The following is a 13,598-nucleotide window of genomic DNA, read 5'->3' as shown; positions in this document are numbered from 1 at the left end:
CCCACAACCCTCCTTCAGCTGCCTGTCGCTCATAGTAAAAGACAAAGTCCTCGCCCTGGCCTGCCAGACCGCACCCATCTGTACCCCTTGCTTCCCCAACTGGCGTCCTTGCTGTTCCTCACACACAGCAGGCACATTCATGCATCAGGGCCTTTGCACTGGCCGATGCCTCTGCCTGGTGTGCCCTTCCTCCACTGGCCATCTGTGTGGCTCATCCCTCATCTCTTCAGATCTGTGCTCAAGACACTTCTCAGTCACACTTTCCGGGACCGCCTCATTAGACATCAGAAGCTGTCCTAGCAATTTTTTTTTTCAAGTCAGAGTCTCGCTCTGTCACCCAGGAAGGAGTGCAGTGGTGCAATCTCAGCTCACTGCAACCTCTGCCTCCAGGTTCAAGCAATTCTGGTGCCTCAGCCTCCCAAGTAGCTGGGACTACAGGCATGCGCCACCACAGCCAGCTAATTTTTGTATTTTTAGTAGACACGGGGTTTTGCCATGTTGGCCAGGCTGGTCTCAAACTCCTGACCTCAGTGATCCACCTACCTCGGCCTCCCAAAGTGCTGGGATTACAGGCGTGAGCCACTGTGTCCAACCTGCCCCAACAGTTTTTATCTGCATTCCCTCTTTTCCGTGTTTTCTTTTTCTCCAAACCATTTACCAACCTGTAACATACTTAATATTTTACCTACTTAGTTTTATTTATTTTCTTTCTCTCCCACTAGAATGGCAACTCCACCAACAGGGGTATGCTTATCTCCTTTGCTCAATGCTGTCTCTCCAGTGCCTGGAACAGGGCCTGGCACACAGGTGGTTAACATATGTATTTTAGTTGACTGAATGGTGGAGGGGGGGCAGAAACAGGAAATCTGACCTTGTCCCACCTAACCTGCCACAAGCTATGCTTCAATTGAGATGATTTGGCTTATTTCTTTATTTATTTTGTGGAGGTGGGTGGTCTCACTATGTTGCCCAGGCTGGTCTCGAATTCTTTGATCTACTAGATCCAAAGGTAGAAAGTGCTAAATACCCTGAGAGTGAGACTAGAGAAGGCTCTCCTGAAAGAGGTAGTATCACCTGGTGCTGGTCCTGGAAGGTCTGATGGGAATAAGAGATCCTGGGATTCTGCGAGGCCCAGGAATGGAGAAAACAGCAGGCAGCAGCTGGAGGAGTGAGAAAAGTTAGGAAAGGATGAAGACAATGGCATCACTGACAAGGAGAAATCTGTCAGGGGCCTTGAATCCCGAGGTGATGACCCTAGATTCGGTGCTCAGAGGCGTCATACCCTGGTCATAGGCCTCCGACCGAACAGCTCAGAGATCTCACACCCTACATAAACACCCATGCATGGCGCCAATACAGTAACGAAGACCCCGTATTCATTGAGAGGTTATGCATTTATTAGGCCAACTTTGATGACATACAGACATGTAGGTTTGGTCCCAAACCTGTCTTGGGTCCCCCCTCAGCAGGATGTGTGAAGTGCCTAAGTCCTCAGTCTTTGGAGATCTCTGGGCCTGGGTGGGGGTTTGCAGGAAGGAAAGGAGAGGGCGACATCAAGGGGGACAGAATGGAGGAGGTCCAGCCTCCATCACGAGGAGATGTAGTTGGACACCTCAATCAGATTTCTGTCGGGGTCTCGGAAGTAGATGGACATGATAGGCCCTTTTGCCCCTGTTCTGGGGACTGGCCCCTCCTCAATAGGGACATCACAAGCCTGAAGTGGGAAGAAAAGACAAAAGTCGTTCGTCAAAATGTGTGTGTGAGACCAAAATTTAATGCCTTTTTTTTTTTTTTGTGACAGAGTCTCGCTCCGTCACCCAGGCTGGAGTGCAGTGGTGAGATCTCAGCTCACTGCAACCTCCGCTGCCTCCTAGGCTCAAGCAATTCTCCCACCTCAGCCTCCTGAGTAGCTGGGATTACAGGCGCATGCCACCATGCCCAGCTATTTTTCATAGAGACGAGGTCTTGCTGTGCTGCCCAGGCTGGTCTCGAACTCCTGACCTCAAGTGATCCGCCCGCCTCAGCCTCCTAAAGTGCTGGAATTATAGGCATGAACCACTGCGCCTGGCCTGTAAAATTTAATTCCTTATAGTGGCCTAGAAGACCTTAGAACACCGCTGTATCTTTCTGACCTCATCTCCTACCATCCTCCCCTCCATCACTCCGTTCCAGCCACTTATCAGCTAGATGGCCTTGGGCACAGTACCTAACTACCCTGTACCTCGATCTCCTCATCTGTAAAATGGGAAGGATAATAGTACCTAGTATTATCTAGTAAATGGCAGAACCAGAATTCGAACCTAGGCAGTCTGGGTCAACGACCATACTCTTAACCCCTATGCTTCACCCATTTTACTTCCAAACCAGTCTTTTTCACTGACACTTCCCAAAGAAGGAGTCTAGGTTATTTGCACAGAATATATATAAGACCTCAATCCGTGTTCTGCAAAAGGGAAACTAAAACCCCTTTTATTTATTTATTGTAGAGATGGGGCCTTGCTCTGTCACACTGACTAGAATGGAGTGGTGCGATCACAGCTCACTACAGCCTCAACCTGGGCTCAAACGATCCTCCCACCTCTTAGCCTCCCAAGTAGCTGAGACTACAGGCACACACCGCCACGTCTGGCTAATTTTTTTTTGTATTTTATGTAGACACAGGGTCTCGCCATGTTACCCAGGCTGGTCTCAAATTCCTGGGTTCAAGTGATCCTCCCTCCTTGGCCTCCTAAAGCACTGGGATTACAGGCATGAGCCACTGTGCCCCAGCCTTATTTTAATTTTTTAGAGACAGGGTCTTGCTGTATCACCCAGGCTGGAGTGCAGTGGCGTGATCATAGCTCACTGTAGCCTCCACCTCCTGGGCTCAAGTGATCCTCCCACTTCACCCTCTTGAATAGCTAGGATTACGGGCATGCACTACCATGCCTGGCTACTCTGTTTATTTTTTTTAAGAGATGGGATCTCACTATGTTGCCCAGGCTGGTCTGGAACTCCTGGCCCAAATGATCCTGCCACCTCAGCCTCCCAAAGTGCTGGGATTACAGGCGTGAGTGACCGTGCCCAACCAATGCCTCTTCTAGATGACATCATTTTAAGTATTACAGAGACACTGGATTAAATAACAACAAATCAGAAATTATTCCCTCTCCAATCTTCTTTCAGTCCTTCTTTTTACACATAGAAGGTGGATGCTAACAAGTTCTTAGTATCTCTTTAACCACCTGCCATATCTCCCTTTGTAATGTCAGGGCCAGGGAGTACAGGGAACGGAAGTGGCTAGAATCTAATGACATTGTTATGCTTTCATAGCTGTTGGTTTTTACAGTTACTTTTCCTTTATGCCAAGATATAATGGGTTTTTCATGTACTTGGATGAACGTTTTCTTTTTATATAAATGTATTTAGGGCTGGGCACGTGGCTCATGCCTGTAATGGCCAGCACTTTGGGAGGCCGAGGTGGGCGGAGCACTTGAGGTCAGGAGTTTGAGACCAGCCTGGCCAACGTGGTGAAACCCTGTCTCTACTAAAACTACAAAAATTAGCCAGGTGTGGTGGCACGCACCTGTAGTACCAGCAACTTGGGAGGCTGAGGCAGGAGAATCGCTTGAACCCAGGAGGTGGAGGTTGCAGTGAGCCGAGATCAAGCCACTATACTACAGCCTGGGTAACAGAGCAAGACTCTGTCTCAAAAAAAAAAAAAAAAAGTATTTCAGTGCATAAATGTAGGTTTGTTTGTTTGTTTGTTTGTTTTACAATGGGAACGCACAGTTTCCTTTTTAAACACATTTATTTACATGAAAGAATTGTCAGTCAAAATAGTACATAACTGTGTGCAGACATTATCTGGTTGTGGTAAAACTTGTTACCTCTCTGGGTCATTCTTCTGTTTTCACTGCGTTTGCAGCAGCTTTTGCAAAAAGAAGAGAAGTCCCACTCACCTTGAGGTGCTGGATCATTTCCTCCAAAGGCACCTCTGTGATCAGACATATGTCCAGGGAGCCAGGAACTGGGTGAGCGGCTTTGGGTTCAAATTCCTTTCCCACCTCGTGGAGGTTAAATTTCTGGTCTCCAAAACACAGTGCTTTCCGGTCTTCCTACTTGGTGGGGAGGGGCAGAGAAAACAGCCTAGAATTAAACCTCCAAGATGAGTGTGAGATGAAGCCTTTCCACCTATCCCAACAAGGTTTAAAAAAAATAAAAACTAGAATGGGGCTACTACACAACAGCCCTTTGCCCCACCCAAGGCTCATTCCCTAGAGGCAAGTGTACGAGTTTATTTCTCCTTGAAATTATTTCCATATCTCCAAATAGTGTTTATACCACTCAAGGCAGAGATAGCAATTTGCCTACCCAGTATACATTTCCCCTTTATTTCTTATAAACACAACAGAAATTTCAGTGGGGTCAACCGTGTACCCAACTTTAAAAACCTACATTTCCCAGCACGTCCGGAGGCCACGTTAGCTGGACCAGGCAATGAGATGGGGGCAGAGGTGTGGATGGGGCTTCTGGGAACCTCCCAACCCTACTGCGCTGGCCCTTATTGCTCATTCACTTCCTCTTGCTTCCCAGCCACTGCCCATGACCTGACTAACTACCTCTGGACTGGTTGTTCAGTGAAACGAAAAGAAAACTCTTGTCTTGTTTAACCCACAGTTAGTTGAGTTTTCTCCTACATGCCTCCAAAGTCCCTAACTGATGCACCACTGTTTGTTTGTTTATTTATTTATTTATTTATTATTATTTGAGACAGAGTCTTGCTCTGTTGCCCAGGCTGGAGTGCAGTGGCACCATTTTGGCTTACCGCAACCTCCACATCCCTGGTTCAGGTGATTCTCGTGCCTCAGCCTCTGGAGTAGCTGGGACTACAGGCACACGCCACCATGCCCAGCTAATTTTTATATTTTTAGTAGAGATGGGGTTTTGCTATGTTGGCCAGGCTGGTCTCAAACTCCTGACCTAAGGTGATCTGCCCACCTCAGCCTCCCAAAGTGCTGAGATTACAGGTGTGAGTCACTGTGCCTGGCGTCTTTTTTTTTTTTTTTTTGAGACAGAGTCTTGCTCTGTCGCCCAGCCTTCAGTGCAGTGATCACGGCTCACTGCAGCCTCAACCTCCCAGACTCAAGTGATCCTGCAACCTCAGCCTCTGAGTAGCAGGGACCACAGGCACACCCCACCACGCCTGGCTAATTTTTTTTTATTTTTTGTAGAGACCGGGTCTCCCCGTGTTGCCCAGGCTGGTCTTGAACTCCTGGCTCAAGTGTTCCCCGCCTCGGCCTCCCAAAGTGCTGGGATTACAGATGTGAGCCAGTGTGCCCGGCTGCACCACTATTTCTTGATTTAGCAACTCCCTGCTATGACAAATGAAAATTTAGCTCATTCACATTACTATCTCTTCCAATACAATTTGATTATCGTTTTTAGTTTCTCTTTTAGCTCCTTAACAATTTTTAACTAACCCATTTGCATGTTTATTTTGTTTATTTATTTATTTTTTTAAGAGACAGAGTCTCATTCTATCACCCAGGCTGGAATGCAGTGGTGCAATCACGGCTCACTGCAGCCTTGACCTCCTGGCCTCAAACAATCCTCCTGTCTCAGCCTCCTGAGTAGCTGGGATTCCATTATAGGTGCGCACCACCACGCCTGGCTAATTATAAAACTTTTTTTTTTTTTTTTGTAGAGACAGTAGTCTCAGTATGTTGCCCAGGCTGGACTCCAACTCCTGAGCTCAAGCGATCCTCCTGCCTCATCCTCTCAAAGTGTTGGGATTGCAGGCGTGAGCCACCACGCTTGGCTGCAAGTTTATTTTTGTAGATCAACTACAGATTAACTCACAGCCCTGCCATGTTCTTCATGAATCCTCCCTCTCCTGGACCTCTCAACATGTGCCATTTCTTTTTTTCTTTTTCTATCTCTTTTATATCACTATGAATGATACCACATCCATTCAATCAGAAAATGACTTTATTTCACTTTTTTTTTTTTTTTGAGACAGAGTCTCGCTCTGTCACCCAGGCTGGAGTGCAGTGGCGAGATCTCAGCTCACTGCAACCTCCGCCTCCTGAGTTCAAGCAATTCTCCTGCCTCAGCCTCCCGAGTAGCTGGGACTACAGGCGCGAGCCACCATGCTTGGCTAATTTTTGTAGTTTTAGTAGAGATGGGGTTTCAGCATGTTGTCCAGGCTGGTCTCGAACTCCTGACCTCAAGTGATCCACCCATCTCAGCCTCCCAAAGTGTTGGGATTACAGGCGTGAGCCACCACGTCTGGCCAACTTTATTTCACTTTTGGACTTGAGGATAGTTTGGCTCAGTGTGCAGTTGTAGGTTGCAGCTTATTTTCCCATAGCCTTTTAAATATGTTGCTTCATTGTCTTCCCCAAATGTGGTGTTGCTGTTAAGAAGTCTGATGTTCATCTGCGTTTTATTCTTTGGTTGGTGATACATCCATCTTCCACTACTGCAGCTTTAGGATTTTTCTTAATCCTAATGTTCTGAAATTTCACTCCATTGTGTCCAAGTACAGAGGTTGAGGCATCATACACCTCGTTATCACCATTGGCCCACGCAAGGACTATCTCTTGTTTTATTTATCTTTTTCTGTTCATTATCCATTCCCATCTCCACCTTAGGCAACCATTATAGTGCGTTTGATGTGTATCCTTTGGTTTTCATAAATTGCTGTAAAAAGTGTGTTACTGTTTTATGTGTGTGTATTGTAATGGGTAGCATGCTGTAGACCTGATTGTTTCTTCATTTTTCACTCAGCACGTTCTTTTCAAGACCCGTCCGTGTTGCTGTGTACACATCCAGTCTGATGTTGCATAATACTACATTTCTGCATAAGGTTCCATGTTAGATTTAACATTTTTAGCCAAATAGAAAAAATTGGCCAGGTGTGGTGGCACGTGCCTACAGTCTCAACTACTCAGGAGGGTGAGGCAAGAGAAGCACCTGAGTCTGGGAGGTTGAGGCTGTGGTGAACTGTGATCGCACCAGTATACTCCAGCCTAGGCAACAGAGTGAGACACTGTCTAAAAAAATTTTTCTTCTCCTGTTTGCGATTCCTCAAGCCCTTTCTATTTAAGTTATATGTGTGTGTGGGAGGGGTGTTCATGTGTACTTAATTGTTTTAGAGCGGTTTTAGGTCCACAGCAAAATTGAACAGGAGGTATAGGGATATATACACCTTGCCCCCACATATGCACAGCCTCCCCCACTTCTTTTACTTAGTAATATGCATTTAAGTTTCCTCCATGTCTTTTCATGGATTGATAGTCCATTTATTTTATTTAATTAATTTATCTATTTGAGATGGAGTCTTGCTCTGTCGCCCAGGCTGGAGTGCAATGGTGCAATCTTGGCTCACTGCAACCTCCGCCTCCTGGGTTCATGTGATTCTCCTGCCTCAGCCTCCCGAGTAGCTGGGATTACAGGCGCCCGCCACCATGCCTGTGTGGGATTATAGGCTGGCCTCAAACTCCTGACCTCAGGTGATCCACGTAATCAGGGATTACAGGCGTGCACCACCATGCACAGCTAATTTTTGTACTTTTAGTAGAGACGGGGTTTCACCATGTTGGCCAGGCTGGCCTCAAACTCCTGACCTCAGGTGATCCACCCGCCTCGGCCTCCCAAAGTGTTGGGATTATAGGCATGAGCCACTGCACCTGGCAGATAATCCATTTGTTTTTATCACTGAATAATATTTCATTGTCTGGATGTGCCACAGTTGATACATCCATTCACTTACTGAAGCACATCTTAGTAAGGCATTTTTTGCTTTCTCTGCATTTACCTTTTTTGAAGTTATTCCAAATTCTCAAGGGTAGTTCAATCTCTGGAAACCTCTTTTTTTTCCCCTTGGATCTGTCTTTCCTGGGGTCTTTCTTACACCTGTTCCAAACTGGACTGATGGTTCTCTAAGTACCTTTCTGGGATCTTCCTCTTGGGATCCATTGTGGCCTGACTTCCATGTCTTCCATATTCCCAGATTCATAGTCATCCAATGTTGGTTTTTTTTTTTTTTTTTTTTGAGATGGAATCTTGCTCTGTCACCCAGGCTGGAGTGCAGTGATGCGATCTCGGCTCACTGCAACCTCTGCCTCCCAAAGTGCTGGGATTACAGGTGTGAGCCACTGTGCCCGGCCACTCCCCCATTTTGATATAGCATAGCCTCAGGTAATTTTCAAAGCAAGTGGGAAATTTTGTAAGACTTCGTATGACTAAGAATGCTTTTATTCTACATTTACATTTTTGTTTGATTTTTTTTGATACAGTCTTGCTCTGTCACTCAGACTAGAGTGCTGTAGTGCAATCTCAGCTCACTGCAACCTCTGCCTCCCAGGCTCAAGCAATTCTCATGCCTCAGCCTCCCAAGTAGCTGGGATTACAGGCGTGCACCACCATGCACAGCTAATTTTTGTACTTTTAGTAGAGATGGGGTTTTGCCATGTTGGCCAGGCTGGTCTCAAACTCCTGACCTGAAGTGATCCGCCCACCTCGGCCTCCCAAAGTGCTGGGATTACAGGCATGAGCCACCGCACCTGGCCCCTACATTTACCTTTGGTTAATAGTTTGGTTGGACATAGAATTCTAGGTGGAAAATTTTCCCCTCAGAATCTTGAAGGTGTCCTTTTATCTTTTGGTCTCTGGTCTCTTGGAAAATCTGATATTTGTTTTTTTTTCCTTTGTAGATAATCTACTTTTTAATCTCTATGAAAGCTCTTAGGATCTACTTTTTCAGTTTGATGTTCTATAATTTTAGAAGGATCCATGTTAAGTGTCAACATGCTGGATACTTGGTTAACCTTTTCCATGTAGAGACTGCAAAGTTATCTTGCATTGTTTCTATGATAATTTCCTCCTCTCTTTTTTCTCCATTCTCTCTCTGGAAGTCCAAATATTCAGTTTGGAATCTCCTCTATTGATCTCTTTATATTTTCTCTCAGATTTCCTGTGGTTTTCCTTTTAGAGTTAAGTTATATGTTAAAGTGTTATCAACAAATTTTAGCCCACCTGAATTTTGGCATTTGGGGAAGTGCTTACCTTAAAAGTCATGACCTCCATGCCCAGGATCTTGGAATAAAACATGGTGGTGTCTTTGATGCTCTTCACCGTCATCACGATGTGGTCAAGTCTACGGATAAGACATGGGGGAGGGGTCTGACTGCTGTCCCTCCATGACTAAAAAAAGAAAAAAAAGTCAGAAGAGACCACATTGCCACTTGTCAACGCCTGTGTTTTCTTCTCCTCACCTCCCCCTACCTCCCCAATTACACTACTTCCTCCTCACCCCCCTTCAAGGGGAAAGGCCTGAGAGAATACTTACTGGTAGAGTCTTACTGCCCATGTGTGGATTCATGAGAGCCCACATGTCTACCATGACCACTTTCCACTGTTTCCTTGTTTCCTTTTCTTTTTTTTTTTTTTTTTTTTTTTTTGAGACAGAGTCTCACTCTGTTGCCCAGGCTGGAGTGCAGTGGCACAATCTCACCTCACTGCAACCTCCGCCTCCCAGCTTCAAGCGATTCTCCTGCTTCAGCCCCCTGAGTAGCTGGTACTACAGGTGTGTGTCACCACGCCCAGCTAATTTTTGTATTTTTAGTAGAGACGGGGTTTCACTATGTTGGTCAGGCTGGTCTTAAACTCAAACTCCTGACCTCAAGTGATCTGCCTACCTCGGCCTCCCAGAGTGCTGGGATTACAGGGGTGAGCCACTGCACCCAGCCTTCTTGTTCCCTTTCTCCTCTTCCAGAAGTGAAGATTAGGGGAGTGGAGACCAAGACAATGCCCTCCCCTGTTTTTCCCTAAATAGAATTCATCTCTTTTCCAAGAAGTGACAAGACACAGAGGAGGCCCAGTCCTGTGAATTGGCCAATTTTACCCAGCCCCCTCCTTTCCCATTCTGCAGCTTCAGTCACAGAGAACAAGACAAGAAGGGGGCATCTCAGAAGAAATGAAGGTTTCTGGGCGTGCGTGTTTACAGATCCACCTTGACACCCAGAGGGAGGACCACTCCCCAACCTTCCACTTTCCCGCCCTCAGCACACTTCCCATCAGATCTTTCTCTTGACTTGAATTATTTAGTAATTTGAATATTTATAGTATCTATGCTACAGGATTATAAAGCACCTGTGGTCTGGCACTATAGGCAATGGAGTATAATGCTTAAAAGAATAGATTCTAGTGGTGGCACCTGTAATCTCAGCACTTTGGAAGGCTGAGGCAGACAGATCCCTTGAACCTAGGAGTTTGAGATCAGCCTAGGCAACACAGTGAGACCCTGTATCTACAAAAAAATATGAAAATTAGGTTGTGGGGCGCTCACGTGTAGTTCTGGTTACTTGGGGGCCTGGGGTGGGAGGATCACTTGAGCCTGGGAGGCGGAGGTTGCAATGAGCTATGATCACTCAACCGGACTCCTGGGTGACAGAGCAAGACTGTATCTAAAAAAAAAAAAAAAAAAGAAGATTCTGGAACCAGATTGACGTTTAAATAATTTATCTAATTTATCTGTGCCTTGGTTTCCCCTTCTATAAAATGAGCATGATTTTATACATGTAGGATTATTGTGAGAGTTTTAAAAAAGTACTGTTTTTAAGGGCATAGAACAATGCCTAATACATATCAAGTGCTATAAAACGATTGATGATGATGATGATGTGTGGTCATCTTGTTAAAATCTAGACTCCAGTTACAATGACACCCTATCTCTACAGCCTCATCCATTGCTCTTGAACTCCAATCTACACTGTCCTTTAGCCTGTTCCTCATAAGGACCACCCTTGTACCTTTCATTTATGGGCCTTTGCAGATGGTAATGCCTGTCTCCCTGACTAGAATGTAAGCTTCATAAGAGCAGGGACTTCTGTCTGTTTTGTTCCCCACTCTTTCCCAAACAACTAGTTCAATCATATTTGTTCAATAAATAAATATCTACTGCAACAACTAGGGACAGTGCTTGGCACAAAGTCTGACTAGTTTCTATTCTGTTCGATTCGATTCCATTGGATTCCATTCTATTCTGTTCTACCCTTTGCTATTTTATTATTTTCTATTCCACTGCGTTTAGTTCCATTGAAACCAGCCCATTTTAAACAATTGATTTCACTGAGCTCCAGCTAAAAAAAATCCTGTACCATTCTATTTTCCTGAGTGGAGGAGGCATTAGCAAAGTTGCTGAGTTTTGCTCTCCCGGTGGATACAAAAGATCCACATGGACATAGGAACTGCAGAAAGAGAAAATGACCGACATTTTGGCTCCATTGAAAATAAAGTCATATGTTGAAATAAATTTTATTAACTTTCTTTTTTAATTCCCTTTTTGAGACAGGGTCTTGCTTTGTTGCCCAGCCTGGAGCATGGTGGCATGATCACAGCTCACTGCAGCCTCAACCTCCTGGACTCAAGCAATCCTCCTACTTCAGCCTCCCTAGTAGCTGGGATTACAGGTGTGTGCCACCATGCCCAACTATTTTTTGTTTTCTTTTTTCTTTTTTTTTGTAGAGGTGAGGGCTCACTATGTTTCCCAGGCTGGTCTTGAATTCCTGGGCTCAAGCAATCCTCCCTCCTCAGCCTCCCAGAGTGTTGGGGTTACAGGCATGAGCCACTGCACCCAGCCCTTATTAACCTTCTAACATCTGTAGAATCTGTCACAATACCCTGTTTATATTCCTGATATTGGCAATCCATATATTTTCTTAATTTCTCGAGAGAAAATAGACATTGCTAGTATTTTATTAATCTGTTCAAAGAATCAACTTTTAACATTGTTGGCTTTATTGTATCTTTGCTTTCTATTTCACCAGTTTCTGCTGTTATAATTTCCTTCCTTCTACTTTCTTAGGTTCCACTTGCCATTCTTTTCCCAGTTTCTTGATAGGGAAGCTCAGGTCATTGATTTTCAACTTTTCTACTTTTCTGATCTGTGCATTTAGAACTATAGATTTCCTCTAAGCACTGCTTTGGCCACATCTGCATCATTTTGATAGTCTGTTAGAAATAAACTCCACCTATTCCTCCCATTATTCTATTCTTCCCTGCCAGCTTAGATTCACTCCCCAGATCCTGCTTTGCAGACTCGGAGCTCCATCCTTGCAAATTCAAGGACGAGCAGGGATGGCTGTCTTCAATAACAGGAAGGCCAGCGTAGCTCAGAACCCAAGAGTGAGTGAGAGATAAGTGGGAGGGCAAGGCAGGGTCTGGATCCTGCAGACTCTTGGAGGTGAAGTTACAAAGCCTGCTTTATAAAATGATGATCAAGACATAGTCATCACACAAAGGACTGGGTGCAGTGGCTCACGTCTGTAATCCTAGCACTTTGGGAGGCCAAGGTGGGTGGATTACATGAGGTCAGGAGTTTGAGACCAGCCTGGCCTACATGGTGAAATCCTGTCTCTATTAAAAATACAAAAATTAGCTGGGCATGGTGACGTGCACCTGTAATCCCCTACTCGGGAGGCTGAGGCAGGAGAATCGCTTGAACCTGGGAGGCAGAGGTTGCAGTGACCTGAGATTGCACCACTGCACTCCACCCTGGGCGACAAGAGCAAACCTCGGTCTCAAAAAAAAAAAAAAAAAAAGACATAGTAATCACACAAGGCTTACTGTGTGCCAAGCCCCGTTTTACACACTCTACAAAAATATAATCCATTTTATTTCTCACCACAGCATATAAAATCCCTATAGTCAGAGTGCCCGGAACACCATGTCCTTCCTCCTTTGGCCTCCTCTACAGGGAAGTGTTCTGTCTTCCTACAGGGTCCTCTTCAAGGTCCCCTTCAGGTTGCCAGGGGCCTCTGAATTCCTCTCCTAAAGCTCAAGGTCAGCGCTGTGTTTCCTAGCCTCTCTCCACATGGCCTTAATCATGACAGCTTTGGGGGCACCCTGCGTGAGCCACCTTTGTATCTCTCCACCTGTCCCTGGCTAAACTGGGGGAGGAGCCAGCCCTCAGCCCCGGCCCAGCCCTGCACACCTGAGCACAGGGCCCTCCATGGCTTAGAGCCGGGCCTTTCCATGGGCCTCTGCTGCCCTCTGCTTGTCTCTGAAAGAGAAAGGGAGAGAGGAGGACAGGAAATGGGAGCCCGCAGAGAAGGGAAACAGGTTACTAGACCAGTTTCAGTGCCAACACCCTTGCCCCAGATCCCCAGGGGCCATCTTGTTCACCTGTTTCTCCAAAGTCCTGCCCCACATCTTGACTGGCAGCCTGGAGGGCAGATGGCGCAGCATGGCAGGGTAGGCGTCTTTGCCCAGGGTCCTCCCGACAATCCTCTGGCTCAGCGCCTGGAGATCAAGGGGCAGGAATGGGAGGGCACAGGCTGAGGACTGTGGGAGGTGACACAGGTAGGTAGTGCAAATGGAAGGACTTTAACATTAAATTCAGGGCCTCAAAATTGAAAGCTTAAAGTGGATGTGTGTAAGGGATTACTTCTTGTTAACACTGAAGGCTGGGTGCGGTGGTTCATGCCTGTAATCCCAGCACTTTGGGAGGACAAGGCACGTGGATCACCTGAGATCAGGATTTCGAGACCAGCCTGGACAACATGGCAAAACCCTATCTTTACTAAAAATACAAAACATTAGCCAGGCATGGT

The 13,598-nt window shown here is 45.9% G+C and overlaps 1 protein-coding gene across 1 annotated transcript, besides 3 other annotated features; it reads right to left on the bottom strand.

Moving 5' to 3' along the window:
* Positions 1,376–13,277, bottom strand: GLOD5 (glyoxalase domain containing 5). Its single transcript, NM_001080489.3, has 4 exons — positions 13,171–13,277; positions 9,052–9,189; positions 3,942–4,097; positions 1,376–1,714 (listed from the first exon to the last, which is right to left on the bottom strand). Exons 1-4 carry the CDS (start codon positions 13,231–13,233, stop codon positions 1,589–1,591), a joined length of 483 nt encoding a protein of 160 aa, NP_001073958.2. The 5' UTR covers positions 13,234–13,277; the 3' UTR covers positions 1,376–1,588.
* Positions 9,705–9,999: an enhancer, noted in NCBI's record as "tiled region #5097; K562 Activating DNase matched - State 8:EnhW". NCBI's record gives its function as "activates a minimal TATA promoter and a strong SV40 promoter by Sharpr-MPRA in K562 cells {active_cell/tissue: K562}" and the evidence as "EXISTENCE:reporter gene assay evidence [ECO:0000049][PMID:27701403]".
* Positions 9,705–9,999: a silencer, noted in NCBI's record as "tiled region #5097; HepG2 Repressive non-DNase unmatched - State 24:Quies". NCBI's record gives its function as "represses a minimal TATA promoter and a strong SV40 promoter by Sharpr-MPRA in HepG2 cells {active_cell/tissue: HepG2}" and the evidence as "EXISTENCE:reporter gene assay evidence [ECO:0000049][PMID:27701403]".
* Positions 12,783–13,525: a transcriptional cis regulatory region, noted in NCBI's record as "promoter|chrX:48619903-48620645 region (GRCh37/hg19 assembly coordinates) targeted for CRISPR interference". NCBI's record gives its function as "positively regulates GATA1 gene expression in K562 cells {active_cell/tissue: K562}" and the evidence as "EXISTENCE:mutant phenotype evidence [ECO:0000015][PMID:31784727]".

Source organism: Homo sapiens, chromosome X (genome assembly GCF_000001405.40).
Source record: "Homo sapiens chromosome X, GRCh38.p14 Primary Assembly".
Taxonomy (NCBI): domain Eukaryota; kingdom Metazoa; phylum Chordata; class Mammalia; order Primates; family Hominidae; genus Homo; species Homo sapiens.
The sequence above is the reverse complement of the archived record's forward strand: the minus strand, read 5'-3'. Positions and strand labels throughout refer to the sequence as shown.

Coding starts and splice junctions, on each gene's coding strand:
- GLOD5 (NM_001080489.3), bottom strand. CDS start 13,233: ATGCTGCGCCATCTGCCCTCCAGGCTGCCAGTCAAGATGTGGGGCAGG. Junction 9,190..13,170: donor GCAGGACTTTGGAGAAACAG/GTGAACAAGATG, acceptor TTCTTTTTTTAG/TCATGGAGGGACAGCAGTCA. Junction 4,098..9,051: donor TGGAGGTCATGACTTTTAAG/GTAAGCACTTCC, acceptor CCCACCAAGTAG/GAAGACCGGAAAGCACTGTG.